Here is a 22,060-nt window from a genome sequence, read left to right on the forward strand (position 1 = left end):
CTGAGGTGGTGGAGTCATGGCCAAAATTTTGGAGTACTTGGACTTTTCTCAAGAAGCGTTGCACTTCTTGTCCGGACCGGGGATTACCGCAGATCGCAGCCCAGAGTCTGCGGAGGCGCACCGTTTCATCAACAGCAGGGACTGAAACTTCAGCCCAGGAGAAGCCAAGATGGCACCGTTATCGCACCCTGGGAATCGAGGACCGGGAAGAACTTAATGGTCAGTGCCTGGATGGTGACAGGTGCTCCAGTGAACTCAGGCAAACTACCTTTTCCTGCGACAGCCGATTATCTTTGTGCAGCTTTCAGTTTGCGGCCCCTAACCTCCTCCAGCCCATAAACTCAGGCCTCCAGTGTTCTGATCTTTCTCTTTGCCTTTCCGCCTTTCCAGATGCGATTCCTCCCGTGATCTCAGTGATTGTATCAGGCGAAAACGAGGAGGGCAAAATACCGTCCAGATGTAAACTAGGAGCAGCCGCACCAGCAGCACCAGCAGAATGCCGTGGTAGTGCGGCAGGCCCTGGCCCCATGGACAAAGAGAAACTCGTCAGTGGCAGTGGCCACGAACTCAGAAAGCCTGAGGACAGTCAGCAGCTCCTCTGGCTCTTCACTTTCACACTGGTGCAACTACAGGAGCTGAAGAACATTTTTCAACTCGTTCCATACCCGGACGTGTTAGGTAAGTGGCATGCTTAGGCGGCACCGACTTTTCACGGAGCAGGGGCTGGGCTCAGGGCTTATTCTCTTTCCCCAGGCCCCTTCCAAACCTTTCTGAGCCAAAAGCTACCTAGGGGTTTCAAGGCTGCTGGGGCCTGTTTGCCCTTGGGCTTCAGGGTGGAGGCAATGCCTCCTGGACACCAAGGTAAATATTTTCAAGCAACATTTAAATGAATCAAGTGGGGAAACTTTGGCCTGATAACTAGGTTTGTATAAATAGAATTTGATTGGAACAAGAACCATGATCAGGGTGAGGAGAGTAAGGCATGGTCGTGCAAGTGGATGGGCAAATTCTGGTTTTATGTAAATATTTGATAATTTGCTCATAATATTTTTGATTTTTCAGAGTAGTGCAAAAAGTGTTATTTTTCTGGAATCCTGAGTTTTTTTGTGCCCCCTTACATTCACTATGGGGGAAAATCATTCCTAAAGAAAGCCTCAATCTGGATATTACAAAATAGTGTACTCGGGGAGAGGTGTTGGGAGGTAAGTATTTAAAAGCAAGCTTGAAATGAACAACATAAATTTTGTTTCATCCACAACTCTAAATACTGAATCTTTGTGGTTTTCTCTCACCAGAAAGGGACTTGTAAGATGCATGAGCATGACTGAAACCAGTGTGCAGGTCACTATACCTGAAAAAACTTATTTGGCAGGGCAGCCATTCTACAATCTGCTTCAAGAGGTAGATACCATTGCCCTAGATATTCTGAAGTTGGTGTGTTTTTGTTGCCTTTTCCAGGTTTGCGAAATAAGTTCAAACTGTGAGTTTTTGCGAATAGAAAATGGGATAAGAAAACCTCAGCTTAGGGAAATTTCCCATTATCAGAGCATACACGATTTCAAAAAAGGCCAAAGAAAGTAGAACCAAACTACTTTTCTAGTTCCTATATATTAATACAATTAAATATGTATGTGAATAATATCAGTATGAAGTATCTAAATATGTTATATTGTATATAAATATAAATAAATAATATGCAGTATATGTGTTTGTATGTATGTGTGTATATATATACACACAAATACATATGTGTATATATATTAGGGAGGACATCTATGTGAAGATTATCGATAAGATGGGAATAAAAGCATTGTCTATGCCATAGAATTGAGAAGAGGAATAAATGACAATATATGTAAGTACCTAGCACAATACCTAGTCACAGAGTAAGACCTCAGAAATATTTGTTACTATTACTCTGTAATATATCCTCTCACCACAGTATAACCCATGGAATATGTGACATAACAGAATAAGCCTGGTTAGGAGTCACACATTTGGTTCTTTTGGAGATACACACTGAAATATTTACTGATGAAATGATGTGACGTCTAGATGTGCATCACAAAAATCCAGGGGGAGATCCAAGTGTGTTTGAGAATTGGTTAGGGTATTCATGAAACAAGGTTGTCTATGATAATTGTTGAAACTGGATAATGGGTACAAATAGGGTTCATCTTTACCATTCTCTCTGCTTTTGTATATGTCTGACAGTTTGCATAATAGAAAAATTGTAATAATCAGAGTTGTAAATTCAAATGTTGACAAGGCCAGACAGGTAACATAAAAGAGAGAAGCAAGCAGGGTAGGGACTGTGGCAAACTGGGAAAGAATATGTCTCTTCCAAAGGGGCAGCCAGTATTCAGCTCCAGCTTAGTGTTGCTGGCTGGCAATGTTGGGCCAGGACTGCCAGATTTTTCAGTTTTTCAAGATTGGCCACAAATTATAATGTTGATATGAAACCTTCAGTTCTTTAAATGTTGGTAACTAACTGAAATATGTTTTATTGAAAAGTATGCTGGCCATCTAAATCAGGTCTGCAGAACAGACTCAGGCTGGAGCTGCTAGTTTGTAAACTCTGCCTGAGAAGCCAATTTTAAGCAATTTTCATTCTCTGGAGCAGTAGAATATAATTGACAGCGTTTCTAAAGCCAACAATCCAAGAATGCCATTGTGCTGTCCTGCTGTTCCTTATTGTAAGTCCCGTGCCCATATATGCTTTGCTCTCTGCCTTCCATCCCTACCTGAAGTTTCTCTAACTTTATCTTTCATTCTCTTTACTTGGTTCTGATCTTAAGGTTCAGAGCACTGATGACCAAGACTTCACAAGTGTCCAAGAGAGGAGACCTCACAGTAATGAATTAGGCACCAGCTCACCTGATCTTTCTCTCTGGTACATTTTGCAGCTGTTCTTAACAATATGCAGGTCCTTTGGACAGTTTTCAGAAATATTATGCCTCAAGGGGCAAGGCACCAGGCTGGAAGGGCAGGGCACCCTTGAGAAGAAAAAGGGAATTTTATAAAACTAGTATCAATTTGTGATCAAGTAGAACTTCCTGAAGTTCAGCAGTTCTTTCAATCTCCCTTTTTTTCTTTTTCTTCTCTTATATTGAAGTAAAATTTAAAATTTAATACTTTTTATTTTTTAAAAGCATGTATGGCATCATTTCAGTCTTATTAAATTCTCTCTGCATCCATTCACCCATCCTTCTTTTTGTGTGTGTGTGTAGTGGTCTCTGTGAGAGGGTTCATTAATGTCAATCCTGATCATTTCTTCCTCAAGAGATGTCAGTAGATTTGTTTTTTTTTGCTTTGGACTTTTATGAATTGATTGAATTTTTATGCCAATTATTTTTAAAGTATTACATAGAAGAACAAATGGACAGAAAAATTTAAATGCAATCAAATCTTGTTGATTTTGAAGTATAGGAAATAATCTTTTTTTTATTATACTTTAAGTTTTAGGGTACATGTGCACAATGTGCAGGTTTGTTACATATGTATACGTGTGCCATGTTGGTGTGCTGCACCCATTAACTCGTCATTTAACTTAGGTATACCTCCTAATGCTATCCCTCCCCCCTCCCCCCACCCCACAACAGGCCCCAGTGTGTGATGTTCCCCTTCTGCATTGTCAGGTAAACTGCAGGACACTCACTTGTATTTGAATTTCAAATAAGCAACAAATATTTTTGTATAAAGTATGTCCCAAATATTGCATGAGACACAGTTATCTAAAAATATTTGTTGTTTATCAGTAGTTTGACTCAGCACTCCGTATTTTTATTGCAACTCTCATATAAACATGTCATTTTCATAGGAAATGCTTTAAATACTTTGTCCTTTTTTTCTCATCCATTCATCCCATTTATATTTTTCTTTTAATTTAGGAGATTAAGGAAAACATTAGGTACTTTGATTTGAGCCATCCCTATAATTATACACATGCATATGTTATATACACTCATATATATATTATCTATATACAGATATATGTGACAGTGTGCTCTATATAATACCTGATGTAAACACACACGAAACACAAACTGAACTGACTGTATTGTTGAAACAGCTGCTCAGTGAAATACGTCTTGTGACCTGTGGTCCTTCTGAAACCGACCCAACAGTTCTATAGACCAGTGGTCCCCAGCCTTATCAGCACCAGGGACTGGTTTCGTGGAAGACAATTTTTCCATGGACTTGGTGGGCGGGGCAATGGTTTTGGGATGAAACTGTTCCACCTCAGATCGTCAGGCATTAGTTAGATTCTCATAAGGAGCACGCAACCTAGATCCCTTGCATGTGCAGTTTACAGTAGGGTTCGCGCTCCTATGACAATAAAACGCCACCGCTGATCCAACAGGAGGCAGAGCTCAGGCGGTAGTGCTCGTTCACCTACCACTCACCTCCTGCTGTGCAGCCCATTTACTAACAGGCAACAGACCAGTACTGCTCTGTGGCCCAGGGGTTGGGGAACCCTGCCAAGGACTGTTCATTTTGATAAAAATAGAAATGGACCCTTCTGGTGTTAAAGTTTGAACCTTACATTTGTTTTATCTGAGTTCCTTCCTCAGGAAGCAACCTTCAGGCCTCTCAAAAAAAAGGGATCAAAGAACTGAAACTCACCAGATCACTACATCCAGACAGTGAGATGCTAGACCCCTCTTTCATCTTGATTGCTTCCTTGCCCCTCCCTAGTTCCTGTTTTCTTATACATTGTTAAATTTCTTCCCTGCTATATAAACCCGTAGTTTTAGTGGGTTCGGGGGATGGATTTGAGACTGAGCTTCCATCTCAGCTGCAGCATCCGATTATAGCCTTTTTCCTTGGCAATACTCACTGTCTCTGTGATTGGCTTTCTGTGCAGTGAGCAGCAGGACTTAGACGGTAGCCTTGGTGTTTTGGTAACACTTCCTTCAGTCGTTTCGGAATGAGGCAGAGAAAGGACAAGGTCTCCTGTTTAGCTTAGACTTGAATGTCATGTGGAACTGGAAGGAGACAGGGACCCAGTTGCCCTACTGGCTTTTTTCTTTATCCCCTTATCCCACAGCAGCAGTGAGGTATCTGGGAGTCCTTGGGCTCTGGAGGAAATGTCAAAGTTGTTGGAAAAGCCCCAAGCCCAGCAAATCTGCCCACTCCCTGCAGGACTGCTGCTTTCACTTTCACTCTTGCCCATGGCCTAGGGACTGGAATGGCCTCAGCCATCAGCTGGGTGGCCTCTGCCAAGGCTCTTGAAACCAGTCCTACCGCTCACACTAGTGGTCGTGCTTTCTAGGGTGGCCCTCTGCCCCACATGGCATCCCCTTAGCTTCTGTCTTCTGGTCCGCCAATTATGGCAGCTACCCACACCCCTATGGGTATGACAAGCTGTGGCCTAGCCTCCTCAATAAGGAGAGGGAGGAGAGCCTGTGGCAGAAGTGAGTGAGCTCACCTGCCTGCAGAGTCCCTGACATCTTACTTCTGTCTATTCACATTTCCTCTCTGCCTGCCTTGTGTTTTCACCCTTTCAATCCATCTAGCTGATGGATCCCTTATGCATCCTACCTACTCCCTTACATTCTTACTCTTCATCACGTCCCTTCATAAGTTGCCCTGGTCTCCTTCTTCTCCCTTTCACCTTCTGCTGGAGCACACATGGCCAAACACCTCATACTCACTGGAATTTCCTTGTCTTGTGTTATCATTAAAGAAAATTATATATAATATATATGTTATATATTATATATGTTAATATATTAATATATATTGTATATAATATATATATTATGTAATAAAAATTGTATTTTTTAGTGATGAAGTCTCGCTACCTTGCCCAAGCTGGTCTGGAACTCCTGGCCTCAAGCGATCTTCTCACCTCAGCCTCCCAAGTAGCTGGGATTAGAGAGCATGTTTTTATTCCCCACTACACTGAGCTCCTGGAAGGAAGGACCTCTGTTTTATTCATCCCAGAATTCTAGTGCTGACAAAGATTCTCTTATTGACCGAATTTTACTCAGGTTCCCTTGAGCTCTTTTTCAACTAGGCCTGGAGTTTTGGATTTCTGAGTTTGTCTCTGCATTGTCCGATTTCAGCAAGGAAATTGCTAAGTCCTGCTAAGTCTATTTAGTCATCCCCCATATCCAAGCACTCTCAATATCTAATCTGGTTCCTCATCCTCCACCATCTCCCAGGTGATGTTTGATCGCCCTGGTGCCTTCAGCAAAAATAATGTTAGGTCGGTTTGGCCCAAATCTTCCATTATGCCTGATGTTTCCTCTTAGTTAATTTCCATCCATTGACTCCCACCTTGTTCCTTGGCTCTAAATTCCCACTTGCCCACATTGTATTTTAGCTGATCTCAATCTATCTCCCCCATTGCAAGATGCCATTGCAGTGATTCCTATACTTATCTTGATATTTCCCCCTTGAACACAGTCTTTCTCACCATCTTTAACAAGTGTCATTTAAAAAAATTGAACAGTAATGATGCTGTGACTTTTATAGGATCAGATTCATCATTGGACTCCTGGACCTATCACTGCGGACCTCAAATGTGCACCTTTTAAGCCCTTTCCTTCACTCCTGACTGATTGATTTGGGATCCACTGCTAAGTCAGACTTTTGAACCATTGTTCCAGGCAAACTTCTGTTAAAGCTGGTAAGGATTGATTTGATTCTTAAGATTCTGAGTATACTCTCTGAAGCAGGTTAGAGTTCCAGGCTTGTTTTGAAAGGTATCTCCTAGGCTGGATGGTTTCCTTCCTGGATCTCTGTCTTGAGTGGGGATTATTCTCTGGCTCCCTGGGCTGAAAGCTTTTCTTTCTGGCTTTCTATTTTGAGTGGGAATTATTCATTGATTCTTTGGGCTGGAAAATTTTTTTTTTGAGACAGGGTCTTCCTTTGTTGCCCAGGCTGGAGCGCAGTGGTGTGATCATGGCTCACTGCAGCCTCAACCTCCCAGGCTCAAGCAATCCTCCCACCTCAGCACCCCTGAGTAGCTGGGAGTACAGGCACACGCCACTGTGCCCGGCTAATTTTAATCTTTTTTTTTTTTTTTTTTTTTGTAGAGACAGAGTCTCACTATGTTGCCCAGGCTGGAAATTTTTTCCTTGTTACTTTGTGAGGCCTCTCTGTTCTATTTGATCCTGTTTTTCCCACAGGAACTTCTGAGTCAACTGAAACACCATTCTTGAATTCCTACTGACTATATGCTCCACCTACACTGTCCAACTCCTTCTTGTTGACATGGTTTTGCTGAGGATAATTTGGAACTTCACTGGTCTTTTTGGGAAACTTATCATCTCCCCAAACTGGTGTCTCTAAGACTTCTCTCTTCCCACTGGTTTCTCTCCTCCTTCCTCCTCTTACTGTAACCAAACGCAGGCTAAGCTGCTCATTGCTTGCAAAATTGAATAACAAGGACGAGGGTGGTAAAAAGAAAGTGACTTTTATTCCAGAGCTTAGCAGTGGGGAAACAGAACAGGCTCCTGCCTTAAGGGAACTGATTTAACTTTCAGGGAAGAAAGCAAGGGCTTAAAAAGGGAAAGTTGGTGTGAAGGGCAAGGAGGTGCGGGGTCTACGTGACTCGCTTGGATGACTTATATTGAGTGATGCCATCTGATGGTCTGGTCTGCACCATCATGGATAGAATTGGATTGTGAATTAATTGTTGTCTTGAGACAATCTCCTGGTGGGGAATTCCAGAGAGTGCCTGTTTTGTTTTGAGATTTGGTCCCTGATACTTCTAAGCAAACATATATTTAGATAAGCTTTCAGTCTAGGTGTTACTGGTGGAGGGTGTCCAGGTTCTTGGCGTTTTGAACAAAGAATTGGACAAAATGCACAAAAAAAGCAAGTAAAGAGTGAAGCAACAAAAGCAGAGATTTACTGAAATCGAAAGTACACTCCACAGGGTGGCAGCAGGCCTGAGCAGCGGCTCAAGGGCCCAGATACAGAATCTTCTTGGGTCCAAATACCCCCTAGAGGTTTCCCATTGGCCACTTGGTGCTTACCTCACGTAAATGAAGTGGTGGCCTGCAATCAGTCTGAATGGTTGCGGAAAGCAACCAATCAGAGGCTGAAGTGAACTTACAAAGGTCACATTCCTATGCAAACATCTGGTGGTTGCAGAAAGCAACCAATCAGAGGCTGAAGTGAACTTACAAAGGTCACATTCCTATGCAAACATCTGGTGGTTGCAGAAAGCAACCAATCAGAGGCTAAAGTGAAGTCAAAAAGTTGTACTTCTATGCAAACGGTGACCTGGCTGGCAATCAATCAGATTGAGCTGAACTAAAGTTATAAAGTTACACTCCTATATAAAGGTCTGATTGGTTGCCAAAATCAGCCAATCAGAGGTACTTTCAATTTCCCATCTGCAGCAAAGGAAAGGTGGGGGTTTGCAAAGGGAGTAGCCTCTGGTCCTTTTGTTACTTAGGTGTGGAAAGTTAGGGCTTTCCTTTCAATTTAGTTCTAGGAAGTTAGTGTGAAACAGCTTTAGGTTCCCTGCCTCCAGACCCTATTCTCCTGCTTCACAGGGAGTGTCTGTTGGAAAGAAGGTAAAGTTTATAATTGTATTCCTAAAGAGTAAAGTAAGAGGTGAGGGAAAAAGAAAAAAAGGTAAAAATAATTCTTTTTAAGAAAATGAGGTACTTGGTTACGACTCCCCACTGTCAAATTCCATTCCATTTTCATGGGATTTGGGCATTGTTTTTATTCTGGCTACTTACTGCTGAAAGTGGGAGGAGTTATAGGGTACCAGAATGGAACTGATCCATTGGAGTTGGAAATATTCACAAGTACTGGGGTTCACAGACAATGTTTGCTGGAGCATTATGGTGCGAGGCCAGGAAAGTCTCTTGGGAAAGCCTGTCTTGCATTTCCATACAGAAGTTGCAACAGCAGTAAAATCCACAGCAAAGAAATATGCCTATCCCTGCAACCAGGGCCAAAGTTATAAGCAGCTTTTGCCACCAGGACGGTCCTGACCTGAACCAGGTTGCTAACCACTGAGCTAGCGACAATGTGGGGTCAGACATAGTTTTGATTTGTTGGTTCATGTCTTGCAGGGCTAACAAGACATTTTCTGAATTATCTGAGATAATATTTAGCATTCAGTCTTAATTACTTAATTATCATGCACAGTCCCCACTATCAATTGTGTCCAGAGTTCTTGTGGGGATATGATGACAGGTGGACTCAATACACAAATTTAACAGTTTTTTTTTAGTTTATATTTCCCACATCTTTTGGTTAAGACATACAGGAGAGGTCATAAATGTTTATGAAGGCAGTCTTGACACATGTGTATGGAACAAATATGTATGTAACATATGACTCATGTTTATTTTTGTGTGGGGACTTAACATATAATGTATTATAATTAGGCCCTAGACATCAAAAGGTCTTTTTAGGACATAAAGGCATGCAAATGTGTACTTTTTGTAAACTAGCCAGAATTAGCCTATGGTCAGTGGTCTTGTTTATAGTTTGGTATCTTATTGTTACAAAGAATCTGTCTTATCAGTCTTATGATCTCCATTTTAATGTTAATGCTTGTCAGTTTTGCCTAAATTCCAGAAAGGGTGGGGATGGTGTAGTGAGGCATGCCTGATGCCCTGCTGTCTGTCATGGCCTGAAACTTTTTCTTTTAGGTTTCTTTGGGATTCCCTTCGGGCAAGAAGGGAGTCCATTTAGTTGGTTGGGGTTTAGGATTTTATTTTTTTTAGTTTATATTCCCCACTGCTTTTGGTTAAGACATACCAGAGGCAGCATTGATGGCTAAACTTTAATTTTGTCCCGTGTTGTTGCCAGGGTGGTGTGTGTCCATTATGTCCCTTGGTAGGACCCCTATGGCCAAGGGACGACCCCTATGGCCAAGGGATTAGAGCCAAAAGATTTATAGGCAATTAAACATTCTAGGCCCGATGGGAATGGAGGTAAGCAGGCACCCATTAACCTTTAAAATCACTTTCAAGTAACATAAGAGCATACATTTTATGCATTGAGCTATTCTAATTTTGGCTTGTAGCAATTAGGTATATAAAACACAAGCATTTTGTTTAGTGGCTTAGGCATCTGTGTGCCCGTCCTCAATTTGGAGGGTCTGAATTGGTTTTATACCTCAAAACTAGCCCTTATAATCTCATATGCCCACCGCTTGCACAATAGTCCCTGGGTTTGGAACGACTGAATAGTTTTACGCTCTGGAGGCAAAACAAAGATAAAGAATTAGCAGTGTTACAAACAAAAAAGTTAAAAGCCCTGTCTAGTTTTGAGAAGGGTAAGTTTATAGGTAGCTAAACATTTAAATCATTTAGTATTAAGGCATAGAATAAATTATATTATTCCAGATAGAGGCAAAATTATTAAATGAATCTTAATGTTTCTGAGGACAGACCTTTCCCTGTGTCTCATGAAAGCAGTTTATTTTGATTGTTGCCTTTGCCTGAGTCTAAAGAGAAGACTTTGGTTAACTTGAGTCTGGTGTCAGATACTGGCAGGAGTCAGTGTCTTCTTTAGATGAGATATGTGTATCCAGGAGTCAAAGCCCTATAACTTAACAACACAAAGATTAGTTAATAGAGATGCAAGATATTTTCTTGACCCCTTCATTGGATTTGCAACAGGGGTGCCCCATTTACTCAGCCCACCCCACTCAACCCCTCGTAGGAGGGAATGTGTGAGTGAATGAGTGCAGGAGCCGGAATAAGCAAGTGCAGGAACTGGCTGGCTGCTTTGGTGCCAGCAGGAGCAAACTTTGTGCAGGCCCTGTGGCATTGTCCAGGTGGGGGTGCCTCCAACCCCAAGGCCCCAGAAGGCATGTTATGATGCTGTCTTAGCTCCACCATCCTCAGACAGCAGTGTGTTATTAGTTCAGTGGGCCTTTTGCCTCATCACATGGGGCAGCTTCCCTCTGCCAGTGAGGGTAAAGGGCCAGTGTGACAACCTTTTTGGCTACCTGCACTTGGTGAGTCCCAAATTCTTGTCCAGTGCCAAAGAGGAATGAGGTCATGCAGATGAATTGAAAGATGGTGAATGTAGAGAATTTTATTGACTGATGAAAGTGGCTTTCAGTGGAGAGGGGAGCTGGAAAGGCGACAGTAAGGGCAGGTCGTTCTACCCTGAAATCAAGCTGCCTCTCTGCCTCTCTCTTCCAAAGTCAAGTTGCCTCTTTCCGATGTCCACCCACTGTCTCTGAAGTCAAGTCATCTCTCCCTGACATCCAGCCGCTTCTCCTCTCTATCGGCTGAATCTGGGGTCTTTATAGACACAGGATGGGAGGCAGAATGGGCCTAGGTAGTTTTGGAAAAGGCAATATTCGATTGGGAAAAATACATTATTCAGGAAGAACCAATTGGGAGAGAGTGGGCACACAGGAATAGAAGTTCTCACTTTGGGCTGTGTGTTTCAGGCTTTTTGGCTCAAAGGTGGGGTTTTACCATGGACCCCTCCCATCTGCCTAGAATTTCTCTGCCTCCTGTCGCTATCAATAGCACCTGATGAGGACTTCTAAGGGGTTGGAGGTGGTAATACTGGAGTTTATGACCTGATTGGAAGCTGTAAAAAGATTTTATAACCTTATAGTTATATATATAACTTTGATATATATATCAATTTGATATATATATCAAATTTTTATAACTTTGATAAACCTCAGCAGTAAGTTTGAGACTTAATTTAGGATTTGATTTTGAGGACATCTGTCAAAGAGGCTAAAAGGCTTAAAATTGATCAAAACAGAACCATAGGTCCTTGTAAAACAAAAGTTGCTAATGTATCCAAGATGATAACTAAGAGATTTTAAAGGCAAGGTGGAAGGTTACATGTATATAAAAACTTAAATCCTTTTAAATCTCAGTTTTTTAATTAATCAAAAACTTAATAAACTTTATTAAGACAACATAGGAACTATCTTGATAAAATGTAAAATCTTGTTTCTTAAGCCAGTTATCAAAAAGGCAAAAAAACCCCACCCCTTCTTTAGTGTGACTGTATTTTTAAATTAGAAAGCCCATTTAGATAATCTGAAAGTCAAACTAGATGAAAAAAGTACTTAACTTTAATCGTACACGGGAAGACTGTGTTTAAGGTAATGAGTATAGCCAGGGAATACATGACTCTGACTAAATGCATGAGAAATTTTCAGATTACATTGAAAATTTGGACATATTAAGGAAAGACAAGAGTGCAGAGTCAAGTTATCCTAGAGGAAAACATTACTTTTCTAGACCTTTAAGAGCAAACATTTTAGCATTAGGCCACAACAGCAGTTAGAACTGGAAGAAAAATGTTATAGGAGTTGATAAAAAAGCTAAAGGAGAGAGTTGTTACCTTGGGCCCTCTCAAGGGGAAAAAAAGCTGAATGTAGTGAGATACATCAAAAGTTGAACTTCTGAGATATGATTCCAAGAAGTTTTTAAAAGAAATAGGCTATAGAATTAAAATTAATAATCTTTTGCAATTTTATTTTTTTAAATTCTGAGTCCTTTTCCCTTTTCTACCTTTTGTAATTTTATTAAGAGTAAATCAATACCTTAAGAAAACTTTGTTTTACCATAGGTGACCAATCTTTAGAAAGACTATTATAAATAATTCCTTTTTAATTATAGCCCAACTTAATTATATATAAAATTTCTTTCATAAATTCCTCTTCACAAACTTTATCATGACTTACATAGATTATCTATAACATGCTTGGACTATTTGACTTGTCCTAAATTTTTCTCTTTTCTAAATAACCAGTCACTTTATTTTAGGATGAAGATCTTATTTCATATAAAAATTATTTTATTTTCTTTATACCATTTTTAAATTAAAGATATATTTTTATATCCATAACTTTTTCATACCTGTCTCCTATTTATTGCCTTTTTCTTTTTTAAAAAAATAACTAAAAAAACCCTCTACATTATATAAAATTATTTTTAAACTAGGAATATAACTTATATAATACTTATTAACTAGAATTCTTATTCTTAGCGACCGTAAATTTTAGTGAAAACCTAGGAAGCAAGAAATTATGAACAATTTAACAGATAATAGTATTTTATAGAGGAAACCATTCCATAATTTTATTTTAATTAATTAACTAACTAATTAATTAATTTTTTGAGACATGGATTCACTCTATTGCCCAGGCTGGAGGGCAGTGGTGTGATCTTGGTTCACTGCAACCTCCATTTCCCAGGCTCAAGCAATTCTCGTGCCTCAGCCTCCCAGGTAGTTGGGATTACAGTCATGTACTACCATGCCCGGCTAATTTTTTATTTTCTGTAGAGGTGGGTGTTTGTCATGTTGGCTAGGCTGGTCTTGAACTCCTGGCCTCAAGTAATCTGCCCATCTTGACCTCCCAGAGTGCTAGGATTACAGGTGTAAGCCATTGTGCCCGGCCTCCATGATTTTAGAAACACGTTTTTCTTTACTTAATTTTTTCTTAATTAGAAATGGCCCAGACATCCAACAAGCAATTATTACTTAATTTAAAAATTTCAGGATTTTAAAATATATGAAAACTCTATTTACAAGCATTTATTTTTTATTTATTTGAGATGGAGTCTTACTCTGTCACCCAGGCTGGAGTGCAGTGGAGTGATCTCAGCTCACTGCAACCTCCATCTTCCAGGTTCCAGTGATTCTCCTGCCTCAGCCTCCCAAGTAGCTAGGACTACAGGCATGCACCACCATGCCTGGCTAATTTTTTTTGTATTTTTAGTAGAGATGGGGTTTCACCATGTTGGTCAGGCTGGTCTCAAACACCTGGCCTCAAGTGATCAGCCTACCTTGGCCTCCCAAAGTGCTGGGATTACAGGTGTGAGCCACTGCACCTGGCCTGCAAGCATTTATTTTATTTACATGTTTAAATTTTAAACTTTTGACAGTTTATCTAGATTACTTATGAAAACTGAGATATTACACAAAGGTAATCATTATTTAGAGTTAGTTCCCTGTTAACCATTTTTAAAGTCTGTACACATTAGGTGTTTATTTAAGTAAGAACCTTAAAGTTAAACATATGGGCATTTTGTTGATAATTTAGAAGATTTAATTTTTTATTAAACTAACAATATTATATTAGTCTTATTTATTAAAAAAATCACACAAAGATTTTTTTTTGGTGGGTTTATAGGCTTATGACATTTATGTTAAAGCCTAATACTTTTATTTATAGACAGTGACAAATATAAACCATTTGGTCAATAAACTCAGACAAAAATGTGTGCTGACAATTCTGAAGGTATTTCTATTTTTATTTCACCAATAATCTTAAGATCAGTTTTATTTATCAAAGATTACTAAATTCATGTGAACTTAAAAAGCATTTTTTGTAGAGGTGGGTGTTTGTCATGTTGGCTAGGCTGGTCTTGAACTCCTGGCCTCAAGTAATCTGCCCATCTTGGCAGATTGTACTCATTTACTTATAATCCTTTTGGTAGCATGCTAGATACAATATATAATACATGTACATACACATGAACAGATCTAAACATGTATACGCACACAAACAAAGGTCCCAATAGCTTTTACCTCAGAATTCTAGCCATCAGATAACAATACAAACTCACAACTTTATGAAAGATAGCTGGATCCACATTATTCTTTGATTACATTGGAAGCTGTTTATATGGCTAAATTTTGATTGCCCCCAATATATAATCCAATGAAAGCTGTGAACCAAAATTTGGGTAAAGCAGTCTCTGTGGCAGTTTGAAAAATATATATATATATATATATATATATATATAACCTCTTCTATCTTTTTTTTTTCAGTTTCAGATGAGTTTCCAATGTTTATATTCTAGTTGGACCACAAATAACGAGTCTCATCTCAGCACCCGAAGGTTAGTAATAGATTTCAAGCAGGCAGAATAGAAATTAGAGGAAGATGGAGAGCTTTAAAACACTCTGCTTAACTTTCTAGTTGCAGGTTACCACTCGAGCTCTGAATTTTTCTTGCTGTAATTTTCTCATCATTTAAAAATGTGCACAAAAATACGTCATAATATGTAACCAGCTGTAATTCCAAAGAGAATTAAAATATGAAGTTCCTGGCAGGCTTCTGTGAAGGAGCTGGGTTTTAAAGGAGAGAAAGAGAAAGAGAAGGAAAGAGAAGGAGGTTTGTGACCCTTCCAGCCCCTGCATGGTGTGGGTTTGGTACCCCCACCACTCTCATTTACCTCCTGTCAGGGAGAGCCCAAGTACCCTAGACCTGCACAATGTAGGATGAATCCCTCCCCACTCCGCAAGTCACTGGTTGAAGTGAACTGTTTCCAGCTGGAGGGAGCTAAAGATACATTTGCCTGAGAGAAGTAACGATGTAGGTGGCTTTGCAAGATAAATCAGGAAGATGAAGTCGTAAGTGAAAAGGAAAGGATGAAATCAGGATCCACACACAAAGGTCAAACACTCACACTTACAAACAAATGGTGCACTTCTGAACAAAACCCTGGTTAAGGGGCTAGGTAAAATCCTGAATGCCTTACCTCAGTTCCAAACAGCTCCACAGGCAGCTAAGTCCAAATGGTGCCAAAGCCCCAATGGTGCCACATATACAAATGTGTTAAACGCCAAAATGGTGCCACCGGCAGCCAAGTCTAAACAGAGCAGATCCCCAGCAACACTGTAGAAGACACAGAGGAAAGTCGAGTCCACTCCAAGTCACTCACCCAGTTTCAAAGGTTGCCAAATTTCTTCAGAGGTCACATTCTTTATACCAGCAAGGCATTGAAGGCAGCAGACATCATGCAGGAAAGAGAAAGGGAGGTTACCTGAAAAGAAAGCATTTCGGCAGCTTCTGGGAAATACCCTAATGTTCTTACAACAAGCAGTTGTAAGAACTTGCTTACCAACAAGCAGTTGGTGTTCACAGGTGGCCCTGTGCCCTGCCCAGTAGTGTAAACTGGGCTAGTAGGCTCGGACAGCCAGAAATGCACAGTGCTCCCTGTATGGGCCACCAAATGTTTAACCAAACACAGATTTGGCCGCTCAGCGCTTGCAAAATCAAATAGCAAGGACGAGGGTGGTAAAAAGAAAGTGATTTATTCTAGGCCTGGCATGGTGGCTCACGCCTGTATTCCCAGCACTTCAGGAGGTTGAAGCAGGCAGGTCACTTGAGGCCAGGAGTTCGAGACCAGCCTGGCCAACATGACAAAACCCTGTCTCTGCTAAAAATACAAAAAATTATCCAGGCGTGGTGGTGCACGCCTGTAGTCCCAGGTACTCGGGAGGCTGAGGCCGGAGAATTGCTTGAGCCTGGGAGGCGGAGGTTGCTGTGAGCTGAGATTGCACCACTGCCCTCCAGCCTGGGTGACAGAGTGAGACTCCATCTTAAAAAAAAGAAAAGAGAAAGAATGAAAAAAGGAAAGGAAAGAGAGAAAAAAAGAAAGGAAAGGGAGAAAGAAAGAAAGAAAGAGAAAGAAAAAGAAAAGAAACTGACTTATTCCAGAGCTTAGCAGTGGAGAAGCAGAAGAGGCTCCTGCCTTAAGGGATCCACTTTAACCTTTGGGATAGAAAACAAGGGTTTAAAAAGGGGAACTTGGAGTGAATGGCATGCAAGAGGGGTGACTAGGTGTGGGATCTATGTGACTCGCTCCAATGCTTACCTTAAGTGATGCTGTGGTCTGATGGTCTGGTCAGTGCCTTCGTGGACAGAAGTGGGTTGTTAATTAATTGCTGTTTTGAGGCAGTCTCCCGGTGGGGGAGAATTCCAGAGGGTGCTTTGTTTGTTTTGAGATTTGGTCCCTGGAACTTCTAAGCAAAAACATAGTTAGATAAGCTTGCAGTGCAGGGAGTGCCTGTTCAAAAGAAGGTAAAGATTTTAATTGTATTCCTAAAGAGCTAAGTAAGAGGCGAGGGAAAAAGAAAAAAAGGTAAAAATAATTCCTTTTAAGAAAATGGGGCACTTGGTTTCATTGCTACCTTCAATCTTCTCTTCAGCTGCCTTGAATGCTTTAATATGTCCCTGGCAAACTCCTACCTCTTCCATTCCTCTGTCCACTCCTGCCAGACTTCCCTTTCCATTTTGACCCCTCAACTTCCCAGTCTCTTTACCTTTAGGTTGCTTGACCCCATTAGGGGCTCTCAAGGGACTTAGTGACCCCAAAGGCAACTACCTGAAGCTCAAAAGGAAAAAGGATAATTAGAAATAGACTGAATATTTTATCCACTCAGATGTGTTTTGGAGATAATCAAACAGCCGCTAGATGTCTCCTTAGTCTCTTGCCTAAAATAGTATCCACGGACTTCATAAGATTACATATCAGGGTAAAAGAAAATCTTAAAAGTCTTCTCTACAAATATTGATTTAAAAAAGGCTTTAGCCTTTATTCAGTAGGTAACCTTGTCCCATTTTTGTCAGAAATGTAATTCGGATAAAAATATAAAGAAGATATGAATCAATGAGTTTTGTATTAATGATTCATGGCTAAAAGTTTAGAATGAAACCAAGATCTCCGTTTATGCCTGTGTCTATGTTTATGTATGAATGTATGTTATGTATATGTGATTTTTTTCCACCTCTGGATGGTATTAACTAATGAATTTATAAAATCTCTTAAAGGAGCTCTATTCAAATTGGCCTAAAGATAAATGAACACTTATCTCAATGGAATATTCCTAAAACTCCCAGTGATATAGAAAGAAACCCAAATGCTTTTCAAGTTCACATGACTTGGTTAAATCTTTGGTAAATAAAGTTAGTTTAATATTTTTGGTTTAATAAAAACAGCTGTCTTCTGAGTTGTCAGTTTCAAGTATAATATGGGCATATATTTTTATTCTATTTGGGTTTACTCATTTAATAAACTAATATTATGTCTGGCAGATGTTTAAGGTTATAAACATTATAAATTCAAGCTAATGGCTGGGTGCGGTGTTTCACACCTGTAATTCCACCACTTTAAGAGGCCAAGGTGGGTGGATTACGTGAGGTCAGGAGTTTGATACCATCTGGCCAACATGGTGAAAACCCATCTCTACTAAAAATAAAATAAAATAAAAAATAGCCAGGCATGGTGGCATACGCCTATAATCCCAACTACTCAGGAGGTTGAGGCATGAGAATTGCTTGAATCCAGGAGGCGGAGGTTGCAGTGAGCTGAGAAGGTGCCACTGCACTCCAGCCTGGGGGACAGAGTGGGACTGTGTCTGAAATAATAATAATAATAATAATAATAATAATAATAATAATGATAATAATAATAATAATAAATATAATCCAAACTAACAACAAATGTACAAGTAAAGATGCAGGTAAAACTGAATTGTCCGATTCCATTACGTCATGTGTGTCAAGCACAGCAGTAAAACAACAAACTCATGCATTTAACTTTTTAGGTTTTTGCTTTTGTGATGCCAGTCAAACATGGACATCCTGTAAAAATAGTTAATAGGGAAATAACTTCAAATGATGGCTAGCTTTGTTTAATGTTATGTTTGCCTAAAATAAGAACCTAGATCTTTTCTAAGTAAGATAAACCACTTAAACACTAATTACTGAACCTAAGTTTTAAGTTTATATGCTTTTGGTGTTTTATTTTCTTTTATTTTATTTTATTTAGATGGAGTCTCCCTCTGTCGCCCAGGCTGGAGTGCAGTGGCGCGATCTCGGCTCACTGCAACCTCCACCTCCCGGTTTTATGCGATTCTCCTGCCTCAGCCTCCCGAGTAGCTGGGACTACAGGTGCGTGCCACCATGCCTGGCTAATTTTTTGTATTTTTAGTAGAGATGGGGTTTCACTGTGTTAGCCAGGATGGTCTCAGTCTCCTGACCTCATGATCTACCTGCCTTGGCCTCCCAAAGTGTTGGGATTACAGGCATGAGCCACCGTGCCCGGCCTGGTGTTTTATTTTTATATGATATAGTGAAGCTAAATACATCTGGTTCTGTTAATGAACATGAAAAATTATACAATGAGGAAGCATATTCCTCTAGAAATTGTGAAACTGTGTGTTCATAAATTTGCTAATCTGCTACAGAACACTAGTATATGACAGTGCTATAGACTCAATGTTTGTGTCCCCGCCAAATTCATACGTTGAAATCCTAACCCCTAATGTGATTGTATTAGAAAGTGGGGCCTTTGGTAGGTTATTAGGTCATGAGGGTAGAGTCTTCACAAATGGGATTAGTGTCCTTAAGCATTCTCTGCCTGTTTCTATTATGTAAATACATGTAAAGCCCTGATAAATTTCCCCAAATGTCATTGTTACAAACCTATTTATATCTTTACTACAGAGCATATCGTGGGAAAATTTTTTATTTGAAATCACACGGTTAAGAGTTCAGAATTGGTTAGAAGAGTAGGGAATGGCTTACGCTAATATATCTACAATGACGTATTTGTGTTCCTGTAGTGTTAAGGATAGGAAGACAATGGATATTCAACAGCAGCAACAATAATATCAACAATTAATCTAAAGAAACTTACAAGAAAATATGACTAAATATTTACCCACTTTTGGCATTTGAGTTTTGCTTTCAATTATTTAAACTGGATTTCCTGAAGTATTTAATTTGAAATGTGAATATCTGCTCTCTTCAAGTGATACCTTTTTCCTTTGCTGTTTTTAATGTGTTTTCTGTAGCTGTAATAAACCATAAACAGGTGTCTGACAGCTTTTCTGAGTCCAGAAGCACAGAATGCTCTATGAAAGACCATGATCCATTCTCTCTCCTATCAACATGTTTTTGTTTGTTCTGTACCCCATTTGTTTTGTCTAGGAGCAAACACACAGAGATCTTAAGCCTATTAAAGTTGTGTTTTGGCTTAGTTTCGGTACACATATCCTTTTAATACAGCAGTTATTAAAAATTATTTTAGGCAATTAGAAAGGGTAAAGAGTTCTTGGTGGAATTTTCCATTAATAAAAAGCAGCCCCCAAACCATTTCTTTTCTAACAGAAAGCAGCCTGAAACTTCAAGCTGCAAGCATAGCTATGCAAGCTAGCTTTCATATGTAAATGCCATCAGCTGTACCTGGAAGCCAGGTACATTCAATATGGCGATTCTCGCTCCCTTTTCTTTGTGGCCACGTGTGCGGGTGTCATGGCACTAGCCAGGTAAAGTCACATGTGCAGGTGTCATGGTGACAGTCAGATAGAAGCCATAATTGCATAATAAAAGATTAGGGTTGGAGGGCCAGTCTTTTCATGGACTGTGTAAATGGAGCACCTGGTCAAACCAATCCCCTGGGCTCTATGTAAATCAATCACCGCCTCCTCAAGCCTTTGTACAAAATTGATCACGTTCTGCACCTAACCCAGAAACCCTCTCTCAGGTGACCCGCTTTCTCAGCATGAGGAAGCTTATTCTATCTCTCTTCCTTTTTGTCTGTTAAACTTTCTGCTCCTTAACCCACTCCACGTGTGTGTCCATGTTGTTAATCATCGGCGCGAGACAACTAACTACAGGTATTGCCCCAGAGGAAGTGGTTTCACTTTGAATGGTTTGGCACTATTGTCAAATATCATACTTGTTATAAGTCTTTGCAGATTTTCTATTTATTCTTGAGTCAGTTTTGGTAGTTTGTGTGTTTGTAGGAATTGTTTTTCAATGTATTAGGGCATCTAATTTGTTGAAATACAATGTTCATAGTATTTTCTTATAATCCTTTTTATTTCTGTCAAATCAGTGGTAACATCCCCTCTTCTTTTTCTAAAAAAATAATTTCAGCTTTTATTTTTGATTCAGGGGATACATGTGCAGGTTTGTTACATGAGTATATTGCATGATGTTGAGGTTTGAGATCTGAATGGTCCTGTCATCCGGATGGGATACTAGTGAACATAGTACCCAACAGTTAGTTTTTCAACCCTTGCCCCCTTCCCTACCTCCCCCCATCAGTCCCTAGTGCCTATTATTGCCATCTTTATGTCCATGAGTACCCAATGTTTAGCTACCACTATAAGTGAGTACATGCAGTATTTGGTGTTCTGTTCCTATGTTAATTAACTTAGGATAATGGCCTCCAGCTGCATCCTTGTTGCTGCAAAGGACATGATTTCATTCTTTTTATGTCTGCACGGTATGCCACGGTGTATGTGTGCCACATTTTCTTTATCCAGTCCACCATTGATAGGCACCTAGGTTGATTCCATGTCTTCACTACAGTGAATATTGCTGTGATGAATATATGAGTGAATGTGTCTTTTTGGTAGAACAGTTTATTTTCTTTTGGATGTATGCCAGTAATGGGATTGCTGGGTCAAATGATAATTCTGTTTTAAGTTCTTTGAGAATTCTCCAAATTGCTCTCCAAAGTGGCTGAACTAATTGACATTTCCACCAACAGTGTGTAAGTGTCCTTTCTTCTGCAGCCTCACCAGCATCTGTTGTTTTTTGATTTATTAATAATAGCTATTCTGATGGGTGTGAGATGGTATCTCATTGTGGTTTTGATTTGCATTTCTCTGATGATTAGTGATATTGAACATTTTTTCAAATGTTTGTTGGCCACTTGTATGTCTCCTTTTGAAAAGTGTCTGTTCATGTGTTTTTTGCCTGCTTTTTAATGGAGTTACTTGTTTTTTATTTCTTGAATTGTTTCCTTATAGATTCTGGATAGTAGGCCTTTGTTGGATGCATAGTTTGTGAATATTTTCTCCCATTCTGTGGGTTGTCTATTTACTCTGTTTATAGCTTCTTTTGCTATGCAAAAGTGCTTTAGTTTACTTGGGTCCCAATTGTCAATTTTTGTTTTTGTTGCAATTGCTTTTGAGGACTTACTCACAAACTCTTTCTTGAGGCTGATGTCCAGAATGGTGTTTCCTAGATTTTCTAGGGTTCTTATAGTTTGATATCTTACATTTAAATCTTTAACCCATCTTCAGTTAATTTTTGTATATGATAAAATGTTTGTATATGATAACCCATCTTCAGATAATTTTTGTATATGATATGTAGGGGCCCAGTTTCATTCTTCTGCATATAGCTAGTTAGCTATCTCAGCACCATTTACTGAATAGGGAGTCCTTTCCCCATTGCTTATTTTTGTCAAGTTTGTAAGAGATCAAATGGCCATAGGTGTGCAGCTTTATTTCTGGGCTCTCTATTCTTTTCCATTGGTCTATGTGTCTGGTTTTT

At 39.8% G+C, this 22,060-nt stretch overlaps 1 long non-coding RNA gene across 1 annotated transcript in view, besides 1 other annotated feature; it reads left to right on the plus strand.

Moving 5' to 3' along the window:
* The window catches only part of RHOXF1-AS1 (RHOXF1 antisense RNA 1), a 110,620-nt gene that overhangs the window by 84,226 nt on the left and 4,334 nt on the right, over positions 1–22,060 (plus strand). The window contains exons 2-3 of the long non-coding RNA NR_131238.1: positions 391–678; positions 18,537–18,658. This is a non-coding gene — a long non-coding RNA (RHOXF1 antisense RNA 1). The remainder of the gene's footprint in view (positions 1–390; positions 679–18,536; positions 18,659–22,060) is intronic.
* Positions 71–252: a silencer, noted in NCBI's record as "fragment chrX:119254442-119254623 (GRCh37/hg19 assembly coordinates)". NCBI's record gives its function as "represses an EF-1alpha promoter that drives an FKBP-Casp9 reporter gene in an ReSE screen in K562 erythroleukemia cells {active_cell/tissue: K562}" and the evidence as "EXISTENCE:reporter gene assay evidence [ECO:0000049][PMID:32094911]".

The sequence above is a fragment of the Homo sapiens genome, chromosome X (assembly GCF_000001405.40).
Source record: "Homo sapiens chromosome X, GRCh38.p14 Primary Assembly".
Taxonomy (NCBI): domain Eukaryota; kingdom Metazoa; phylum Chordata; class Mammalia; order Primates; family Hominidae; genus Homo; species Homo sapiens.